The sequence below is a fragment of the Homo sapiens genome, chromosome 3, assembly GCF_000001405.40.
Source record: "Homo sapiens chromosome 3, GRCh38.p14 Primary Assembly".
Taxonomy (NCBI): domain Eukaryota; kingdom Metazoa; phylum Chordata; class Mammalia; order Primates; family Hominidae; genus Homo; species Homo sapiens.
This window is the reverse complement of record NC_000003.12, coordinates 151,180,557-151,203,867: the sequence shown is the minus strand read 5'-3', so window position 1 is coordinate 151,203,867 and position 23,311 is coordinate 151,180,557. Positions and strand designations below refer to the sequence as shown.

Sequence of the window (23,311 nt, the reverse complement as noted above, 5' to 3'; positions counted from 1 at the left end):
AATATATTCTTCAATGAAAAATTATAAACTATAAAATAGTATGAATAACATCTAAGTGGAAATACATAAGCATAGAAAAAATTTAAAACTTATGTACCAAAAATATTAACAGTAATTATCTCTCTGCATAATGATGTTCCTTTTTTATTTCTATTTCCAGATTTTTCTATAATGAACATAAAATAAGATAAATAAAATGTATACATTAGCTGACTCTGTAAAACACATCTTTTTGTTTACTTCTTTTTTTAATAATAGGTGTCTCAGCAGGAATAAAAACTGCAACTATTTTTTAAATTTTAACTTTGAAATGCTGTGTTACTATATATACTGAAAAAATATTTGCTTAAACACCTTATATCTTTAATTATTAATCCCCATCAAGGCATGAAGAGTGATATTCTTTGAAATCATTATGACACAAAACATACCTTGGATACTTTAAAAAAAAAAAAAGGCTAGGTACTAAATGAAGATCTTTTCTCTAAAAAATATGACAAATAAATTGCTTAAGAAAGCATACATGAAATTGTATACATTAAAAAAACTTCTTTAGGAGACTTTCATAAAGTTAAACTACTTGCAAACCACAGTTTCATCTACGTCAATATGCAACATTTTAAAACCACACAAAAAGGAAAGGAAATTTTTAGTAAAGCCAGCAGCCTGCAATGGGGTTGCTACTGCTGCGGCTAACCAAACAGCTCATGCTTCTCTGAAGACTTGCAGCAAGGCTTGCTGAGGCTCACAGAAGATAGCCCCAGGTATGTCTTTTTAAACACTTAATATATTCAAATGCTTTTCCGTGGAAAACAAAATTGTGATTTTTCAGTATTTAAGGCTTATAAGTAGAAAAAGCCAAGCTGTATAAAAAAAAAGCATCAATTTTTAAACTCTAAATAGGTCCTAGCTGTGAATGACACTATAATTTTCTTATATCTGATGAACCCATTCATCTGTCTCCAAAAGACAGGATAATTGACACCAGACTGAATACCTGAGCGAGCATAACTATTCAGTAACTCAATCTTATAACTGGGTGGATAGAGGCCATGTTGTAGATCTTCACAACAGGGAACAACAGGCCTTAAGATGACTTTCCTCTACAAACATTACAATAGGTGATTTCAAGAAGATTCCACTGTGATTCCCATAGAAAATCTAATAAGCTTTTATTTTGTTTTTGTTTTGTTTTGTTTTTGAGGAGTCTCGCTTTTTCACCCAGGCTGGAGTGCAGTGGTGCGATCTCAGCTCACTTCAACCTCCACATCCCGGGTTCAAACAATTCTCCTGCCTCAGCCTCCCGAGTAGCTGGGATTACAGGTGCCCGCCACCGCGTTGGCTAATTTTTGTATTTTTAGTAGAGACAGGATTTCACCATGTTGGCCAGGCTGGTCTCGAACTCTTGACCTCAAGTGATCCACCCGCCTCAGCCTCCCAAAGTGCTGGGATTACAGGCGTGAGCCACTGTGCCCAGCCAGTTTATTTATTTTCTAAGCAATGGGCACTCTATCCAAACTACAGAGACAGTTAAAATCTTGTATTGTTGTTGCTGCACTACTTCTGAGTATCTCACATTTTCACTGGTAAGTAACTGTCTGGTAAAATATTTATTAAGCACTTAGTTCTCAAACTTGTGACACAGAACACAGGATGTTATTATACAATATTTTAACCTCTAATTTACATAAGCAAAAATTTTAAATAAACAGATTTGTTTCTCACTGCAATTTAGACAAAAGTTCACAAACACAAATGTGAGAAATGTGAGATGCTCCATGATTCTTGAGAATTACTGAATGATTATTCATTTCAGATAAATTATTCATGTACGGTATATATCGTCAGTTCTAGCTACAGAGAAAATTAATCAAAATAAATTACTCTAATTCTTCTCTTTACCATATACGTCTCATTGATACAACAGACTTATTTTATAGTTGTGCAAGCAATGGAGCACTTAAAGAAACACATTATGTTACCATTATTATGTAATATTTGAAATAGAAGTGCGTAAGCCAAAATCCTAGGGCCTTAGAAAGTAACAATAAGCAAAGATGTGACACTATATCAATGCACACGAATACTAGTTTTTCACATAAAGAAGAAAAGTATGTTCAAAATTCCAAGGTACAAATGGTAACTATCCAAATTCATGGTCGCCAAGGACATCGGTAAAGCCTGGAGTAGCTTTCAGATGTGAGGAGCTTCCTTAAAGCTCTGGAATAAGCAGGATTCAGGAATAGTAAGGATAAATGCAGAGCGCTTAGAAGATGACCAATAAGAACAGATCTTAGTCCTGCCTGAACATGCTGTGAAAGCTTGAGGAACACACCAGTGCCAGCCCTCAATCTCCTCAACTGACTTGGGGATTAGACTACAGGCTATCGATAAAGTTTCCATCCATCCTTAAAATCCTATGACTCCAAAATTTCTATCACATGCAAAAGTATAAAGGCAGGAAGGAACTGTACACAGAATAATAGAGACCCCACCAATCCCAATCTTAATCTGGGATGTAAGTAGAGATGGTAGAGAGAAACTAGGTTATGGAAGCTTTGAGAGCAAAGTTGGTTTAAACTTATTGGATGGGCCTAGGTTTTGTTTTTAAATGTGCGTGTGAGAGAGAGAGAGAGAGAGAGAGTGTGTGCACGTGGTTGTATGCATAGAACAGCAAAATATACGAAAAGCCTAAACTTATATTCTTAGTATTTTGGTAAAAAGTTAAAAATAGTTTATTTCAGCTTTATTACATAAAAATTGTTTAGAACATAGTTCCTGCCCACACAGTAAGCCCTTAGTAAAGACTGGCAGATATAATAATAATCATTATCATTTCTATCATCATCTTACTATTGTTACTGAGGCAGTGTTTTGGAGTGGTTTTGAATGTGATTCTGAGATCAGACTGACTGAGCTGGAATCCTGGCTTTATATCTTACCAGCTACACAACCTTGGGTAAGTAACCCCATTATGCCTCAATTTCCTCATCTGTAAAGCAGGGACAATAACAACACCTAGCTTATGGAAATGATAAGAAGTTAAATAAGTACATGTAAAGTATTTGGCATAGTGCCAGATACAAACCAACTGCTTAATTATTTTCATCGAGTTTGGTAAAGAATGACATTATTCATGGACTCTAACGTGCTAACTCAGGTAGGGAAAGAGAAAGGGCATGTAGCCTTTAAGCAGCACTTGAATTTAGAAAGCTTTGTGTACATCTGCCTTATTCATCTGTTTGCATACATTGTTTCATTACAAATGCACACAAAGGATCATTAATTAATTGGGGAAATTAAAATTTAGAAAGATGTCAGAAGTTTTATTCTCTTATTAAAAGGCACTTACAGAGTAGCTGATCTGGCCTTCAATGTTGGTCACTATAACTTATATTTGCTTCTTTTAAAAAGGTTGTATTATAATATAAAATGTTTCCTTGCTAAAATACAAAAATAATCTTCAGGTCTTTAAAACAAAAGAACACTGTTTAATGTGCAAAAGGGGGACCCACACCAACAGGCAGCACCAGAAAGATTACTAATGTACCCTTAGCTCTAAGCATGTGAGTTTGAATAGACCAGGTCAAAGGGAGCCCTATCAGTTTAACTTGAGCTTACAAACCCGCTCAATGTTCCAGATTTGGGAGGGACATGACAAGACTTCATTGTCATTATCAGTGGTGATCACAGTAGTTCTAAGGGTATGTCTTATGCTTCTGGGCTTTTAACTGCTTCAAAACCCACAATGAAAGAAAAAAAAAGCGACTCAAGTGTTGAAGTCAGATGTTTTGATACTAATATAAATAAATCTTTCTCCAAGGATTTTGTAACCAATGAACATACATCCATGTTCTGGTAGTTGTGGGTTTTTTTGTTTGTTTTTTTGGTTTTTTTCTGTTTGTTTTTGAGACAGACTCTTGCGACCAGGCTGGAGATTTTCCATCAACTCCTTACTTCCCCTGTCAGCCTGGGTTCTCCCAGCCTTAGGAGCCACATGAATCTATGGAAAACAAAAAACTAAAACAAGAAAAAAACCAGAAGGCCTCATTGAAAGCTCTTCATGCTCAACCACAACCCTAGTTTCCTCTCTCTACTTCTCAGAATCTCGGTTCACTTATCTCCTCTGCAAACTAACTTCCAACCCAACTGGTAACAAGAACTACCAGAATGGAAAAACCTGAGGTTGAAAATATCCCTACCAAAAGCAAACCTGCATGGGATTTCCTGAAAGTCACAAAATCAGACAATGGAAAACCCAGGCATCTTCACAATCTAGTATGTTCTCACCAGGCCATATGGTCTGGTAAGTTCACCAATAAAATTCTAAGAACTGGAAAGACAACGGTATTGTGAAGACCAATGTCTTTTAAAGAAAATAGTTGCTAATTTTAATTACTAACCTCCCTTTCCTTGTTTCTTTTACAGAGTCTTAGAAATTTTTTCTTTTCAATAAGCAGTCATCCTTACTTTCCCTCAAGATGACAAACAGTTCGTTCTTCTGCCCAGTTTATAAAGATCTGGAGCCATTCACGTATTTTTTTTATTTAGTTTTCCTTGTTGGAATTATTGGAAGTTGTTTTGCAACCTGGGCTTTTATACAGAAGAATACGAATCACAGGTGTGTGAGCATCTACTTAATTAATTTGCTTACAGCCGATTTCCTGCTTACTCTGGCATTACCAGTGAAAATTGTTGTTGACTTGGGTGTGGCACCTTGGAAGCTGAAGATATTCCACTGCCAAGTAACAGCCTGCCTCATCTATATCAATATGTATTTATCAATTATCTTCTTAGCATTTGTCAGCATTGACCGCTGTCTTCAGCTGACACACAGCTGCAAGATCTACCGAATACAAGAACCCGGATTTGCCAAAATGATATCAACCGTTGTGTGGCTAATGGTCCTTCTTATAATGGTGCCAAATATGATGATTCCCATCAAAGACATCAAGGAAAAGTCAAATGTGGGTTGTATGGAGTTTAAAAAGGAATTTGGAAGAAATTGGCATTTGCTGACAAATTTCATATGTGTAGCAATATTTTTAAATTTCTCAGCCATCATTTTAATATCCAATTGCCTTGTAATTCGACAGCTCTACAGAAACAAAGATAATGAAAATTACCCAAATGTGAAAAAGGCTCTCATCAACATACTTTTAGTGACCACGGGCTACATCATATGCTTTGTTCCTTACCACATTGTCCGAATCCCGTATACCCTCAGCCAGACAGAAGTCATAACTGATTGCTCAACCAGGATTTCACTCTTCAAAGCCAAAGAGGCTACACTGCTCCTGGCTGTGTCGAACCTGTGCTTTGATCCTATCCTGTACTATCACCTCTCAAAAGCATTCCGCTCAAAGGTCACTGAGACTTTTGCCTCACCTAAAGAGACCAAGGCTCAGAAAGAAAAATTAAGATGTGAAAATAATGCATAAAAGACAGGATTTTTTGTGCTACCAATTCTGGCCTTACTGGACCATAAAGTTAATTATAGCTTTGAAAGATAAAAAAAAAAAAAACAAAAAAAAACTCAGTATGAAAAAATACAGTTAGCTAGCAAATATGGACAGGTTTACTTAGAAATCCTGTTTCTAAATGCAAGTCAAGCTTTATTGTTAGGCTTGCTGCTACTCATTAACCCAAATATTTGTACAAAAAACTAAAGAGTCTCATTGAACGAATGTAAAATCCTGCAATATCCTTGAAATCCAAAAGAGGTCCATGACATAGACCCAAAGGTATTCATGAGTTATTCATTTAAATGCCTGGAACTGACTTCTTGATAAAAATATAAAAAATAATTTCCATGTAAGTTACCAGAAAGCCCACCAGCAACATAATTTTAAAGCCTTTCAGATTACTTTTAAAAAATGCAGCTTACATATAACAACTTGTGCCTATTTTATTTCTAATCTATCACTTCAAAAGATGGTAATCTTTCAACTCATTATTCCTCCAATTTTTAATGTCGAATTTTTTTCTAACACAATAACCAAAAGCTTTTATTTATAAAAAGGCTTGAAAAATATAGACAATCTTTAATGTATTATTTGTAATTATATTCTACCTGTAGGTTATAATAAAGGCTTCCTGATGTTAGTAATAATACATTTAGTGACTTCTCATTTCTATTTTGAAGTAACATGAAACACAGAGGCCCTGTAACATTTCAGAGGGAGTTGTTAAGTTATACTAACTACTGAAACTAGTGTTTTGGAACTAGAAAATCACATCGATAGCACATCAATGGTAAAACAGCACCAGTCAGATGGTCTTTATAAAACAGATACACTGACTTCGCATAGCAAGGCCGTGTTAGGAATGTAGCACAGGCCGAGCTACTCAGTGCCACCCAGGTCCAGAAAGATGAGCCTGACTCCACGTAGGGCCCCAGTTTAAAGTATAGGTGACTCCAGCCGGGCGTGGTGGCTCACACACTTTGGGAGGCTGAGGTGGGCAGATCTCAGGTCAAGGGTTAGAGATTAGCCTGGCCCACATGATGAAACCCCCTCTGTACTAAAAATACAAAATTTAGCCTGCTGTGATAGTGCACGCCTGTAATCTCAGCGACTTAGGAGGCTGAGGCAGGAGAATCATTTGAACCTGGGAGGCAGAGGTTGCAGTGAGCTGAGACTGCGCCACTGCACTCCGGCCTGGGCAAAAAGAGCGAGACTCTGTCTCAAATAAATAAGTAAATAAATAAATAACAATAAAGTATAAGCTGACTCCAGCTCTCAGAGTCACAACTCTGATCAAATTCTCTCCACTGCTGGTGATGCAGAAAGAATACACAGCATTAAATAAAAGACTTATTAGGAAAAAGAATATTGGAAAAATTTAGATAAGCATACATGATGACTTTGTGTTTTTTATTTCATTAGTAAAATAAGCCCATATAAAAACCGCTGGTAAATCCATTTGCATTAGCTGCAATGATTAAGAAATGGTGTTCCTGAAAGCTAGGAAAACAAGTTTGATTCCAAACTCATTTTTGCATTTCACAAATTATTTTCTAAAGCTTGAAAATCCTATCTACAATTCCATAAAAATATTCTGACTCTGCAGTGAATAATAAATGAGAAAATGCATGAAGTGCCTATTACAAAACATACAACAAGATAATGCTATACAATTCTAGCTAGCTAATGGTAATGACAGAAACTCCAGCAGCCTCACACATCTGACACAGTGTAAATGACTTACCTCAGTTGCAGGCTGTAGAATGCCTATCCACTAGAACCTGTGTTTGCTGGTAGTCTAGGAAACATGGTTCACTAATGGGCAGATCAAGTATTATTCACAGAATAGCATCATGAAACTGTTTTTCTGAATCTTTGGTCAAGCCCCCTTTAGTCCTCTTCTCTTTGGTCTTCATTTAGTAGGGCCCCATATGACAGATGGGGACATGGAAAACACTTTTCTTAACCATATTTTTATAGTCTCCTCACATGCAATGAGAAGCTAGTCAGATTTTCTCTTTTTATTAAGGGAAAAAAAACAGACAGTAGCATTCCTAAAGTCAGTGTTATATTAGCATATCCTTTGGCTTCTTCTGAATTGAACTCATGGTAACAGGGAGTTTAGGGCAACCAGTGGTGGAAGGCTATTAAAAAATGTATCCTACAATATCAATTGTCTAGCAGTTCTTTCATGAATTGTTATAGTTAAATTATCTCATGATTCATTATGACATGTGGTCACTGAAAATCATTTAAGCTCTTTCTTCCAAGGAAGTAGAATGTTAAATGCAGGGAAAGGCTGTAAAACCAAGGTCACAGGAACAACAGAATAAAGAAGCTGAGGCTTAGTGTCCAGCTCTGACACCCAGACACCTGGGAGAGAGACATGCAAAGCTCTGTTTACCCAAGAAAGGAACACATAACCCTCAACCATTCAACCAGTTTCAAACACTTTCAACATTTTGCCATCTTTGCTTAATTTATCACCCCCCTTAATTCTTTCTTTTAAATAAACTTTTTATTAGAGTAATTTCCGATTTACAGAGAAGTTGCAAAATAGTACAGAGAGTTCCATATGCCATTCAGCCAGTTTTCTCTAATGTAAATGACTTAAGAGAACCACAGTACATTTGGTGAAACTAAGAAGTTAACATTGGTATATTACTATTAAATAAACTCCGGACGTTAATATTGTCTCCCTTTTTTACCCAGAATATTTTAAAAACAAATCCCAGACATCATGATAGCTCATCTATAAATTCTTCAGGATACATCTCTAAAATATAAGGCTACTCTTTCTGCTCCCCTAAATAAACTGTGAGATTATTCCATTATATTATAAATGAATAATGTCTATAGGTAACAGTAGAAAAGCATAGATATTATTCAGGCAGTGATAGATAAGAACAAACTTTGGCAAGTTTTGACATATCCCTGGACATAGAAAAATTAACAAAAAATGGATTAATTGTAATAAGGAAAAAAATATGGGTTTGATAATTTGACAAGTTTTGAAATGGCCCTGGACATAGAAAAATTACAAAAAAAGAGACTTTTAACTGTAATAAGAAAAAAATAAATGGGTTTGGTAATTTTGAAAGTCATTTCAGGAGATATTCCAAAATACCAAAATAAATAAATAAATAAATAACTTAACAGAATACTTTGTTTTGCTGATAAAAACTCCTAGAAGATACCCAGAAAGTAACGTAATACATCTACAATTACTTTTTCTATTTTGAGACAGAGTCTCCCTCTGTCGCCCAGGCTGGAGTGCAGTGGTGTGATCTCGGCTCACTGCAAGGTCCACCTCTGGGGTTCACGCCATTCTCCTGCCTCAGCCTCCTGAGAAGCTGCGACTACAGGCGCCCGCCACCAGGCCTGCTAATTTTTTGTATTTTTAGTAGATACGGGGTTTCACCATGTTAGCCAGGATGGTCTCGATCTCCTGACCTCGTGATCCGCCCACCTCGGCCTCCCAAAGTGCTGGGATTACAGGCATGAGCCACCGCGCCCGGCCCAATTATGCTTTTTATATGTAAAAGTAACACCCAATGAAAAAAATGACTCCCTGAAATTGTACTTAAAATAAAAATCCAGAAAAAAAGTTAGTGAAGCCAAGAATAAACTTTTTATTTCAAATTTTGACCCAATTTTTATTTCTAATATTAAGAAACCAATTTTGTTACACTTTAGAATAAAGCACATCACTTTGCTAAGAGTCAAATGGTAAATTTCCTGCCAAGCATTTCCCATTTGCTATACAATTCTTAAATTCAACCAGTCCAAATCTGAGCCTATCTTGTACAAGCCTCTATGAAGTCTTACCCAATTTTTCAACTAAAATACTCTTGTTCTCTCCAATACTCATTCTTTGAGAGTGGAAGGGGCCCAGAAATGTCAACTGGCTCACCTTCCAGTAAGAATTTGTGTTTTTACTCAATTATTGCATGTATTTGAGGGCTTGCCATTTATAGATGTTTGTCTCCTGTCTTTCCTATGCCTCAAAATTCTTGCTGACATTTGTCTCCCGTCTTTCCTATGCCTCAAAACTCTTACTGACTAGAAGTACCTACCATAATACAGTGCACATAAAAGCTACTCAGCAAATTTACTTTCAAATTAGAACACATTTACGCCTGGCACGGTGGCTCACGCCTGTAATCCCAGCACTCTGAGAGGCCTAGGCGGACGGATCACCTGAGGTCAGGAGTTCGAGACCAGCCTGCCCAAAATGGTGAAAACCTGTCTCTACTAAAAAGACAAAAAATTAGCCAGGCGTGGTGGCAGGTGCCTGTAATCCCAGCTACTCGGGAGGCTGAGGCAAAAGAATCACTTGAACCTGGGAGGCAGAGGTTGTGGTGAGTCAAGATCGTGCCACTGTACTCCAGCCTGGGCAACAGGAATGAAACTCCGTCTCAAAAAAAAAAAAAAAAAGAAAAGAAAAAAAACACATTTAGACATCACCTGCAGTGACTCAAATGCTCTTTAATAAAAGGATACTAACATAGAAAATTTCATTTTCTAAATCTAATTAGCCACTAATATCACTACAAATTCGGACAACCTCAGTACATAAGCTTAAGATCAGAATTAGAACAGAAGCAGGAGCAAATGCAAAAAACTCACCTGCTATCATTATTAGTCAAGAATACAGTTGAATAATCTGACGTTCAACAGTTATTGATCTTATAATAAAATAATCAGGGTATAGATTAACTGAAGCAATGACTTACCAGAGGTATAGGAAAATGTGTTGCATACTGTAAGTGGCGAAGGAGGTCATAATTAGATGGAAAAATTAATTCCCTTGGCTTTTCCCTCTTCACCAACTTCTCACAATTAACTGACATTCTTCTGCCCAACGAAGTGTTGGCATTCTCACAGGATTCTCCAGGCATAGGAGAAAAAATCTAAGTCATGTAAAACAAATGTTGGAGATTGTAAATGAAAGCCAGCAAAACCAAACCACAGTGCTACATACCAAAACACACACATAAGACACTTATACACCTTTTCCTACTTAACCACTTAGCAAAAAAATATGAAGAAATTGTGTTAATTTCCACAAAATTCATATTCAGATCAGTACGAATCTGTGAGCATCACCCTCCATTTTGTAGATGAGAAAATGACAACCACACACATAAGAAATGTGTCTACACTACCTGGAAAGCTAAAGATAAAAGCAGAATTATGGGTAAGTGTTTTCCTCGTAGGGCTACATTTCGTACAGAAACATATACATAATAATAAACTAGTAAGACTAATGAATAATAGACATAAAGGTTTTGGTCTGTACTCCAAACAATTTTTTTTTAAAGTTATATATTGTGATTCATGAGAAAGAACACATTATAATTATATTGAAATAAAGTAGAAGAATGCATAATAGGCCCAAAGCCACCAAAGCTATTATATAGAAGCTGAACATATACATAGCAAATCAACATGGACTGTCATCGTGAAGCTACATTCACGCATTAATGAGATGATGATGAGCTCAAAATGAACAAAAAAGTTAGCCAACCAGGAGGACAGGAGTGTTCCAATTTACAGAGTAGGCCATGCAACCAAAACTGAGGATGACCCAATTGTGTCAGATGATAATTGTACCAAAGGAAGAATATGGCAAGATTACATATCACAAATGTGCAAGTCATTCTGAGAACACAGAAGGATCGAGACAGGCTGGGATGGGAACGGGTTAATTCTTAATTGTCAATAAGAATCAAAGATTGAACCTACTGGAAATTCCGAACCAAAGTCAGTTTTAAAGTCACTCTTGTCTACTTCATCAAAAATGTTAGTGGTTCCTGAGTCAATGCCCATATGCGCCATAATACTCTGTTCCTGATAATCGCCAGAGAAAGAAAGTAACATTGTAAGTTTTGGAGTTCATCAAGAAACTGAAGCTAAAACATGACAGTGGGATTTTTAACCATCTCTGTCTTTTGTTCCCCGTATTGTTTTCTTCCCCGCAAATTGAAGGAAGCTTTAAGGCATGCCTTGCTATGAACAGTCACATTCTTTTCCCTCATCATGAGAAAATTTAACTTCCATGATATTTTAAGAGAAGAGCACACAAACATCCGGATTAAAACAAGTGTCCACAATTTCCTTTCTTGGGCTATTTCCCATCACATACTTTAACCAACTCTTCTTATTAAGAAAAATATAAGACTATATCTGAAATATAAGACACTTTAATATCTATAGAATAGAAAAGAAAAAGCAGGAGGATAGAAAACATGTAAACAGGTAAAGGAACTTCAGTTTTTAGCCTTGTAATTGCTACTGTCAATAAATTAAGACAAATGTTTAAATATTTTTAACCCGACACCATTTTGAAAACAAGCCTTAACAGTATGAACTATGAATCCATGTTTGCAATTCTAATACCAGGTTTTTAATTGTAAGTATAGCTACTGTTTTAAAAAATAATAATGGTATATGCCTAAACTGTGAGGTGTTTTTTTTTTTTTTGTTTGTTTTTTTGAGACAGTTTTGCTCTTGTTGCCCAGGCTGGAGTGCAATGGCGCAATCTCGGCTCACTGCAACCTCCACCTCCCGGGTTCAAGCAATTCTCCTGCCTCAGCCTCCTGAGTAGCTGGGACTACAGGCATGTGCCACCACGCCCGGCTAATTTTGTATTTTTGGTACAGACAGGGTTTCTCCATGTTGGTCAGGCTAGTCTCAAACTCCCAACTTCGGGTGGTCTGCCCGCCTCAGTCTCCCAAAGTGCTGGGATTACAGGCATCAGCCACCGTGCCCAGGCTAAACTGTCAGTTTTTAAGCAATTGTCTCAAGTTCTCGTCATTTTCTATAACTTCCTATCACCACCTCCATCTTTTTTGCCTTGAAAATTTCAGTAAGTATCTGGAACAATATCCAAAATACCAGAATTTGGCAGAAAATTATAAAGTCACACTCATAGCATAAAATAATTTGTTGAAAAGGACACTTCTACAACATTTGAGAAACAGAGATTAAACTTTTAATTAACTGAAATGAAAATATGTGTTGTGACTAACAAAGAATTTCCCATTATGAATAAAAGAGTGATATAAGTAATGAATGATACATTAGGGAAAAGACGATTCTTAGAATGAAAACTCAGCTGACACTTAAAGGTCAAAACAAGTCCAGTTTTGAGACACAATGTTAAAGAAAAACTAGAGATTAGAAACATCTAGAACTGAAAGTATATAATTCCAATCCTATGAAAAATGTTATGGCCTGTCAGATTATTTTCATTACAGTTTTATAGTATCCAAAGGGAAATTCTGGAAGACATAAGAAGCTACAGTGTAAATATCTTTCCTGCTCGAGAAGTAGAGATAAACAACCACTGGGGCAAAAGAATACAACAAAAAGCCATCACTCTTCTACCACTACATGACCCATTTGAACATGGTTCCCAGTAGAGTTTAGTTTCTGGGGGAGTGGGGCATCATATCCAGGGCCATACCTCCATTTTCACATCATGGTCCTTTGAATAGTGTTCATCTGCATTTTCCCCTACTGGTGACCGCGGCCGAGTTGAGGCAGTGACTGACAAATCTCCTCGAGATATGAGGGTACACATGTATGCGTCATGGGAGAAGACATCATGGCGGATGAACTCGCAGAAGAGCAGCACCAGGTTCACAAATTCCACCTTTTCACATTCACTGTTTGGGTCCGCTATAGAGAAACAAATTCAATCAAGAATTCCTTGAGCAGGTGGTAGAAAAAAACTAATTACTAAGGCTTAATATTTTCATTACTTTTCACAATCAACTTTTCTGGGGAAAAAAAAGATCTATTGGAAGATTTACTGAGGCACTAGCATTTTGGGCAGAACTGACAGGCAGGTTTTGATTGTCCCACCATAACTGAAAAATATCCAGTATGGTAAACATGATTACAAGTTTAAAGATAGTAGTCCTGGCTGGGTGCAGTGGCTCACACCTGTAATCCCAGCACTTTGGGAGGCTGAGGTGGACAGATCCCCTGAGGTCAGGAGTTCGAGACCAGCCTGGCCAATATGGTGAAACCCCGTCTCTACCAAAAATACAAAAATTAGCTGGGCATGGTGGTGGGTGCCTGTAAGCCCAGCTACTCGGGAGGCTGAGGCAGGAGAATCGCTTGAACCCGGGAGGCGGAGGTTGCAGTGAGCCAAGATCGTGCCACTGTACCCCAGCCTAGGCGACAAGAGCGAAACTCCATCTCAAAAAAAAAAAAAAGATAGTAGTCCTGAATACCCATTCAAGTACTAATGTAAAAAAGCAAAATTTCAGGATCAGAAAAAAAGACAGCAGGACTAGACTGCCGTCCTCTGGTTTTACTAATAAAACAGTTCATGACTGCTTTTTCTAGCTTGAGTGGGTCTGTGCAATTGTGAGAATATGGGTGCACATTTTCAAAGGAGATTTTACAATTGAACCACAATTTAAATGGTGTTTGAAAAAAATGTAAGCAGGATCCACGGAAAAGAAAAAGGAACAACTGAATAAAAAGAACACAAAGATGGAGCTCTGCAGATTATTTTTATTCATAACTAGCCTATTTAACTCACATTATGACTTTCAATATTGTCACTGCACTCTAAAGTTTTGTGACTACACCTTTAAGATAAGATTCAAAATTTGTAAGATGAACCTGCAAAGCTCAATCCTTGGTACCATCACATTCACAAACACCAATAGGAGACACATTTATCCAAGGAACATTAAGCTCAGTTCCCTAAACCTTGAACCTAAATGTTTCCTCTTGCTCACTACCAAACTCGGTGATGAGCAGCCTCTTTCAGGGAACAGATCAGCTTTTTCTGACAGACAGTAAATGAGATGAACTAGCAAAGACACAGGAGTAAGGAGTTTTTCCTAAAGAGAGAACAAGAATGGGGAAGAAACGAGGGAAGCAAAGGGCAAATGTCTGTCTCCCCCAGGGTACAAGGTAAGTTACAACTGCTAACTTCATGCCTGACAATATATTTTCTGCTATCAGGGATCTCTTCAGTCCTTTCACTTTTCTGCTTCCTTTTCCATGAATTACTCCTCCCTATGTTCCAACCACTAGATTAGCTCCAGTGCTTGCTCTCCTTCTAGCCTGGAAGCCACCAAATAACTGAGAGAGCCCTTTGTCTCAAAGAACCTCACCTGCAGGTCTCACTCAGGCCCCTCCTCAGAGGACTCAGAAGAGTACTGTTTGTTGTTGCTTTACCTCTTTCTTCACAAGCATCTTCCTCCTCCCCAACCTTTTTCTCCCTCTTTCTATTGCTTTTGACTTTTTGCCATTTTTCTGTTACCTTAAGATCCTCCCTGTTGCATTTTGTCATATGAAAATCTCAGAATAATTTCAAGCCTACATAGCTCACAAAATATTTCAAAAGTGTTCACCCACAGTCTGAACCCACTGGGTGGCTGTTTATTTCAGAAACCCTCAACTCCTCACTAAAAAGGCAAAAAAAAGAGCTTGAGATGACATAAACATCCCAGAGAGTGTAGAGAAGCAGCTAGGCATCTATAAATTACTTCCTTGTACCATGCCTCTGGCTATAGAGTACTGTTGCTTGATTCCCCCCTACTCCCATGTTTAAGAGCAGGAACTAGAAAATCAGACATACAGAAAACTACTAAAAAAGAGAAAATTCCAAATCACATTCAATATACAGACAAATGTCACAAGACCTTACTTCCTTACATGAAGGAGTGAGGTGACTTTTAACAATTATTTTAAAGTCTTTGAAGCTTGACTGATTTTAAAATTGCCTAAAAGTCTCCATGAAAAAACATGCCACAAAATTTTGCTCAGTAAAACATACATTATATTCAGTGCCAAGAATATTAAATAAGATCTAAATTTTTAAAAAAGGAATCAGAAAAAAAAAATCAATCCCTTATTTAAGATCTAGAGGCAAAGAGTTTTCTCTACTTACACAAAGAGGGGGCCTGTGTATCTAAAAACCTTAACAGCACATTCTGGAAAACAGGCAAACTGGATCCAGCAAGAGAGGATGAAGAAATAGACTCCTTCTCATCTAAGACTTCTGATTCACCACATCTCTACAGATTAAAAATAAATAACAAAGTTAATTACAGAAGTATAGTCATAACAGATCATGAATTTGTTAATTTTTTATTGGCATTTAAGTGCTCAGGTAAAACATGTAAAATTAATTGATATGTCTGTACTTATTTAAGGGACCATGCACCTCAGGTGAATATAATTTCTCCATCCAAGTACTAACCAGGCCCGACCCTGCTTAGCTTCCGAGATCAGACGAGATCGGGCGCGTTCAGGGTGGTATGGCCGTAGACAGGTGAATATAATTTCTAAAAGTTGGAAAAAACTACCCCAGAACAACTCAAAGGATTTCAAAAACACCCCTGAAAAACATTTATTCATGTGAACTATAAACTCTGCACAGTATTACATGAGTGCCCACTAAATATATTATGGTACAACAAACTATTCATTATCCCTATGCAAAATTGCTAAAAATAATTTGAGGTTGTCTTCATTTTTAAATAGTTCATGTTTAACTGTATTCTCCCTGGAAAATATTGGGGCATATATTATTGAACTGTTTTTGTCAGAAGGGTTTATTTGTGTTTTTGGAGAAACATGGTATCAAATGAGAAGGCTAACATAATTCCCCTAACAATATTCTTTCACTTACTCATCACATTCCGCCAATAAGATCTCTCAGAACCTCTGGGAATGTCCACAGTTCATGAAGTACCTCTAGGGAAGTTATTTAACTTCTATTTTCTTAAAGACAGAACTTACACAGGACCAGAACCTTGTTTTCTATTCTTTGTTATATTCCTTTGATCATTCCCATTTTCATTACTCTTTAATATCAAGATACTAATTATGTTAAGAATATCATTATTTTTCCAATCTATTTTCTCTTTGTGAAGGTCAAATTTTAAAGATGGTGATGTTTAACAAAAAATCAATTATTTTAAATATCTCTGAAAGAATACATTTTTAGATATAGATACATTTAGGCTATTAAAATTACAAGGTAATCTATATATGAACCTCTTCTAAAAGTGGAATGTGTATGTTTGTATGTCTGGAATAGAGGCAGGAGAAAAGCAGTGTAAAAAAACACATATGCAATACAGAAGGAGCAATGAAATATTTGGGAAATTTCATTTTAGCTGCTGAAGTTTATGGACTGCAATTCACCACAGAATAGTCCAACTATTCACAATGTATGGAAGAAAAGCAATGAAAGGCTTTTCCTAATTTGCACACTGTTCAATAGGTCATTTAGCTTACACCTTAACATTAATATCTTCAAGCCCCAGTTTCAACAATATGATCTTTCGTTTTTGGTGAATACAACTTTCCTAACAGGAAGAGAAAAATGTCTATAAAATGTTCTTCCTATTTCATTTTTACTAGCTTCACAAGAAGGAGGTGTAATATCAGCAACACAGAGAGCCAGCTAAGGCTCATCCAGTCATGCAACAAATACCTCCTGAGCATCTACTATGCAGTGAGCACTATTCTGTGCCAAGGACACAACACTGAACAAGATGAGTGAGCTTTCTGCTGTCCAGCTCACCTTCTAGAGGGGGAAGGTAGGTATTAAACAATAAGCAGATTAACTAGATAAATGTGCACTGCAACAAGGAAAGTAAAAACAGTGACGTGAGAAAGAGTGCTTGAGGGGTAGAACGCTGTTAACTTTGATCACGTGGTGATGGAAGACCTTCCCCAGGTGCCACATGTTGAGCTAGGAATGCTGGAAAGGAAGGTACACTTCTTGAGATGGGAATGCCAGGAAGAGGCTGGCCATGCAAAGACTGGGGAACAGTCTGCAACCTAGAAGGAACAACAAGAGCAGAGGCCTCAAGGTGACAGTGTGTTTTGTGTATTGAAGGAGTAGAAGTACCAAGGTGAATGGAGCTGTGACCCTGGGGAGAAGGGCACAAGATGAGGTGGAAAAGGCAGGTGAGGTAGCTCAGGAGATGCTGCAAAGGCTACAGTCAGGAGCCACAGAGAGTATCAGTAAGGAGACAATGCGATCTATTTACATTTCGAAAAGATCGGCAGTTGCTGTGTAGAGGAAGCAGAGAGATGAGGTAAGATGCCTCAAAGTTGCCAGGTGAGAGATGACAAGGACCTGGTCAGATGATATACACACATTCCCCATAGCCATCCCTGCTAACAGTCACAGGCAGAAAGGAAGGCCTGCTTAGAAAATTTCCCTCAACAAAAGCTAATGTTGATGAACTTAGTTTTGCTTTTTCCCTTATAATTTACTTCCAAGGCTTTAATTGCTCTCTCTGGGGCCAGAATATAATCTCAAAAGCAATACAAATTGGTATTTATAATATCATAATCATAACTGCCTCAAGAAAGTATATCCAAATCCACTAAAATATGTAGTTGTAAATTTCATAAAAGTTGGTATATCTTATACACATGTGCACATGTATATTGCACATGTGTGTGTATGTTTTGTGTACGCATATTTCAATATAGCAAAGAAATTTCTTTGTTCTAAATCAGATGCTAAAATTGTATTATTTTATCTTTTATTTATTTACTTTTTTAGAGACAGAGTCTCACTCTATCAACCAGGCTAGAGTACAGTGGCACCATCATAAGCTCACTGCAGCCTCAAACTCCTGGGCTCAAGAGATTTTCCTGCCTTCTCCTCCCAAAAAACTAGGATTATAACAGGTGTGAGCCATTGTGCCCAGCCTAAAGTTTTATTTTAAAAGATACCATTTTTAAATTAGTCCAGAATATAAATGGCTGCATCAATTTAGAGAGATTCTACTATAAGAATCTTCCTTATGTGAATTTTTACATCCTCCCTTTTTTCCTCAAGAGCAAAAGAATAACATAATGAGGGTAAGAGAAAATGATCTTCCCCAAAACAGTATTTTTACATTACGGCATTCAACAAGCAGAAAGAAAATGGAACCTACCTCTGCCTCAATTTCTGCTTGCCTCTTCTCCAGGAGTTTTGCCACAGCCATGGCCCTGTGCTTGCCAGACCGTTTGCAGCTCACGGCCCATTCACATAACAGCGTCACCACAGCTTCATCGTTGGGCGCAACCTAATGACCAACAGAGAGGGGTACCAGCCACATCAAATGAAACATTCACCCAGCAAGAGGCAGGAAGCAAGCAAGGGAATATCTAACACTTTAAAGCTTTTTTCCATGTTTTATTATAGTAGCTTTAGAAAGCGCTTCCAAAACATTTTTAATTGAAATACAAAAAATAAACCTATACAAGGAAAGAAATCACTTATGCTGAATCTGTGACAATTCCAAAAGAATTAGAGCTTCCCTGTGGATGCCTTCACTTACACAGGGACATAACCTAGCCCCAGCTACCCTCTAGAACTCAAATTTCAAAACCAAATAGTAAGGGAAAAAAACAACCACTGACTGTCAAGAACAGCTGTCACAAAGTCAAAGTACATCACTCTACTGTTGGCACCCTCAGGCCCCCCACTCACTCAATGCCTCATACAATAAATAATTCTGACAAGCCAGGTTATCCAGTGACCCACTCCAATACAAAATTAGAAGGAACAAACCAGAGGGGAGGCTGGAACGCTGGTAAAACACCCGTCCCAATGGAAATAACAAACACGAAAAATGACAGCCCAGCACCAAAACGAACCAACAATTAAGGGCAGACACAGTCAACCAAGGACAGCAGCCGGGTCTAGGTAGGGCTCAGCATGGTGACCAGAACTGTCAGCCACAGTTGTCATGGCCTAGAAATAGGCACCAGCGACTGAGGATGAGAGGATGTTGGGGACCCAAATGACATGAGTCGCGGATAGGGGTGCAGCGAGTGGTGAGCGGGGAGATGGTACTTCCGTGTGATCTGTCCTTTCCTTTTAGAGGGTCCACGCCAACCAATAGGACATCAACTACAAGTTTTTAATATGTCCCCATGGGGATAAACATGATGCCAGAAAAACTAGATAATCGCAGCATTAGCACTACAGGCTATGAAGGAAGTTAATACTGTAGAATCCATAAACTCAATTAAGATTACGATATGGCTATGAGCACACGCCATGGAAGAACATACATACATACATGCATGAACTTAGCACATTTCGGAATGTCTGTGCAGTCTGAAAAGCCATCCAAGAATCCCAGAATAAGTATCCCTGATCAGCTGTAGATGCTAGCAAACAATTCAGATCATGAAAATCAGTTTATTCCAAGATTTTTATTCATCATACCCTAAATTTTGTCATTTAAACACATGGTTACTCAAACCAAAGAAATGAGTTACCTGAGGCAGATACCTCAAAGGGAGCTCTGTTTTCCTAATTTAAAACAAGAGAAGTAACTCAATTGAAAGAAATGTTTGAACATAACATTTAAAACAGAAAGTAAACTGGGAGGACTTTCTGCCCAGATTCACTCTAACCTATATGAACATAAAAATATAAAAGTCAATCCAGTGAAGGACCACATGCTTATAGGTTTAGAATATTAAAGATAACAAAAAGAGTTACCCTAAAAATACTGCTTTCAGTTTTTATTAATCTAAGCAGTAATATGCTTCATATCCACATTTACACAGATTTTTTTTTCTCCTGCATCTTCAGGATTACACTAAAATGTGCTACAAGAAACAGGTGATTTTAAAATTTAAAAACTTCTTTTCCCACTGAAGATTTTATGTGAGATTTAATATCTATGTGAAATTAGGGAGACATATAGAAGAACTGTATGTGATCAGTAATGTCTCAACACCTACGTGGGAGAACAGATTTCTTCAGATCTACTGAATAAACTACAACAAAAGAGAAGTCAAAACAAATCACATTACCACATCCCTTTTATAAACCAAAACAACAGCTAGTGTGCCCACATCATCTCTGAGAAAACAAACACAAACTCATCACACACGACACTCTGAAGATCAGCAAACCAAGCACGGTGTACACACAGCACACACGATTCTGAAAAGGCAGGAGAAAGACAAATCTCATCTGGGCACCCATAATGTGCATGAGCGTTCAGTGCTGCTAGGGATAGGAAGGCACATTTTCTTGCTTAAGAAGCTTACACTCAAGAGATAAGAAGGAAACAGCAAACACAGAGCAGAATAAGAGGCTCTATACACTGCACATCCACAGGGACAATCCAGGGAAGGTTTTACGAGAGGCATGGTCTTGAACCTTCATATAGTCACACTGTTAACTAGGGTTTTATCCAGAGAGAGGACTACAGGAGATTTTTATTTTCTGCTTTTATCATGCAAAAGAAAAACACTGTTTGTTTTGGGGAAAAAAATGTAAATTGGGCCTTGGAGGAAAAATATCAGATTTCTGATAAATAGAAAAAAAATGTAAAGGACAGAAAAGACCTATCTAAACATAGTGGAAATCATATGCTCTCCTGAAGCCTTGGGGTATAACATCCACTTACACAACTATGTGCTAGGCACTGTGTTCTGCCCTATTTATACATATGATCTCATTTTACCCTTACAGAAACCTGGAAGTAGTTATCCCAACTGTAATGAGAGGCAAGCTAAACCCATGCCTCCAGCCCCAAACTCACCCCTAAGCTACTAAAACCCATCCGCTCCCTGGGCACCTCCACCTGCTGACCACAATCACCTGATCCCAAACTAAGCTCATCTTACCCCTCAAATACATTTCTTGTCCTGTGAACTTTCTCTTAGAAAATGGCATCACCATTCAGGCCAGAAAGCTGAGAGTCCTTCTCTCTCCCCAGCCACATTCTACCTACACTGCAGTTTGAGCCCCTCAGACATGCTAAGCCCACCTCCACCTCGGGCCTCAGTGTTGGCAGCCCCTTCCCTCCAGTGCGTTCCTTACCCCCGAGTTTCACAGAGCAGCCCCTTATCTGCCCTAAAATCTGGAGGATTCAGGCTGACCAGAGGCTCCCTGGCCACCCTTGCAAACGTCATGCTATTTCATTTGCTTAGCAGTGAATGCTGCTATCTGAAAATGTTTTCTTCACTTATTTATAATTTTACTGTCTGCATTCTCTCACTAGTAAACAAGGATTTTAGGTGGGAACATCATGAATAAAGCCACTCAGCAGGCCCACTTACAGAAATCCTATGAATGACAAAAAAAAAAACTCATTCTAATTTAGGGCAAATACTGGGTTTATCTTATGGCATACATCCAACAGCAGTCTGAACGAATTTTAAAAAGTAAAATAAGGAAGCACTGTTATAACATCTAGAGCATTCACAATAATTTTCAATCAGCTTGCTCTAATCTCTAAATAATGCTCCTGGAGATGCAAAGAAAATAAGCAGAGACATTTTTTCTCTCCTAATTCATATAATCTTCACTCCTTTAGGTGTCTTGTCATCTCAAGCAACTTTAACTTACCTCATTAAAAAAAATAATTTAGCTAAATTAAAATGTTCTTTTTACATTTTCATGTCTTTATTCCACTGAGTTATTATTGCAAGGTCACAATGCTACATAAAATGAGCAAAATTATTCCTTTAAGACTGCCAGAAATGGTTATTACAAATGACAGACTGGGCATGGTGGTTCACGCCTATAATCCCACACTTCAGGAGGCAAAGGAGGCAGATCACCTGAGGTTAGGAGTTCAAGACCAGCCTGACCAACATAGTGAAACACCATCTCTACTAAAAATACAAAAATTAGCCAGGTATGGTGGCGCATGCCTGTAGTCCCAGCTACTCAGGAAGCTGAGGCAGGAGAATCATTTGAACCCAGGAAGCCGAGGCTGCAGTGAGCCAAGATGATGCCTCTGCACTCCAGCCTGGGCAGCAGAGTGAGACTCCATCTTAAAAAAAAAAAAAAAAAAAAAAAAAAAGACAATGAGCTAAGTACAGTGGCATGCACCTGTAGCCCCAGCTACTGGGGAAGCTAAGGCAGGAGGATTACTTGAGCTCAGGAGGATTACTTGAGCCCAGAAGTTCGAGGCTAGCCTAGGCAACAGAGCCAGACCCTGTGTCTTAAAAAAAAAAAAATGGAAGGAAAGACATGGCAATGATTTCTACATTTATATAAAAGCACTAATGATGAGCTGAAATTACAACTACCAATTTTTATTTTTAAAAGAATAGATTTCACTTTTACATTTCTAAACATGCTTGAGATAAAATACCCACCAATGTGACTTTCATTTTACTTAAACTTTTGCATATATTCCAAATTTTAAACGAACATATATTATTTTTAATACCAAAGAGATAAAATACATATTTAAAAAATATCTATAACATAATAACCTTAGATGCTGATTCCAAATATGAAATAAGCCTAGGATTTTGACAAATCTCCAAATGGCTTTAAAAAAAGATTGCCAGCAAACTTAACCACCGAGAAAACAGAAGTGTTTTTTTTTTAATCTTTTAAAAGTAAAATCACTTAAGAATTTAAAATCATTTAGGAAAGAATTTTTTTACTAATCATAAAAATGACTTGCAAAGAAAACAATTTACTAGAGAAACTGGTCGATTCTTTGGAAGAAGAATAGGGTAGTTGCTTACATGTTAAACAATGTAGTGAAATAAAGCAAACATTGTATCTATGTGTATACTGTGCACTGAAGGAAATTAAATTTACAAAATGTCCACTGGAATTCCAAGTCTGTGCAGAAGAGTTGGGTCCTTGATAATTTCCTAAAATAGATTCATAAAAATCCAATGAATATGGAAAGGTACACTTGTCTCTCAATGATTTGACTCACCCAATTTAAGTAACTGACACGTCTTCACCTAGAGATGCATAGAAAAGCACACATAAAGAAAAGAGTTCTTTTGAACACATCCAGATGTCACCACTGGGGTTTGGGAGGCAGAATGTGCTAGAAATAGAAAACAGGTTCCAA

General features: G+C 37.5%; 2 protein-coding genes and 1 pseudogene across 30 annotated transcripts in view; 1 reads left to right on the top strand and 2 right to left on the bottom strand.

Moving 5' to 3' along the window:
* MED12L (mediator complex subunit 12L) overlaps positions 1 to 23,311 on the bottom strand; it is a 350,990-nt gene that overhangs the window by 232,786 nt on the left and 94,893 nt on the right. For 13 of the 24 annotated variants that reach the window (XM_017005676.2, NM_001393769.1, XM_017005678.2 and 10 more), the window contains 5 exons: positions 18,407 to 18,538; positions 15,388 to 15,514; positions 12,937 to 13,151; positions 11,214 to 11,318; positions 10,202 to 10,378 (listed from right to left, as the gene is read on the bottom strand). In XM_017005676.2, coding sequence (XP_016861165.1) covers positions 10,202 to 10,378; positions 11,214 to 11,318; positions 12,937 to 13,151; positions 15,388 to 15,514; positions 18,407 to 18,538 — 756 coding nt within the window. The remainder of the gene's footprint in view (positions 1 to 10,201; positions 10,379 to 11,213; positions 11,319 to 12,936; positions 13,152 to 15,387; positions 15,515 to 18,406; positions 18,539 to 23,311) is intronic. The other 11 variants (NM_053002.6, XM_047447409.1, XM_047447408.1 and 8 more) reach the window with 2 other exon arrangements.
* Positions 652 to 6,114, top strand: GPR171 (G protein-coupled receptor 171). 6 transcript variants are annotated; one of them, NM_013308.4, is made up of 3 exons: positions 652 to 764; positions 2,871 to 2,959; positions 4,429 to 6,036. In NM_013308.4, exon 3 carries the CDS (start codon positions 4,482 to 4,484, stop codon positions 5,439 to 5,441), a length of 960 nt encoding a protein of 319 aa, NP_037440.3. In that variant the 5' UTR covers positions 652 to 764; positions 2,871 to 2,959; positions 4,429 to 4,481; the 3' UTR covers positions 5,442 to 6,036. The 6 variants fall into 6 exon arrangements, with proteins under 6 accessions (NP_037440.3, XP_047304010.1, XP_047304012.1 ...); XM_047448054.1 differs by having other exon boundaries at positions 2,871 to 4,306; XM_047448056.1 differs by having other exon boundaries at positions 2,871 to 6,114.
* Positions 15,645 to 15,769, bottom strand: RNA5SP145 (RNA, 5S ribosomal pseudogene 145; annotated as a pseudogene).

Excerpts from the sequence above, each read along its gene's own strand:
- GPR171 (XM_047448056.1), top strand. The coding sequence starts at position 4,482 with ATGACAAACAGTTCGTTCTTCTGCCCAGTTTATAAAGATCTGGAGCCA.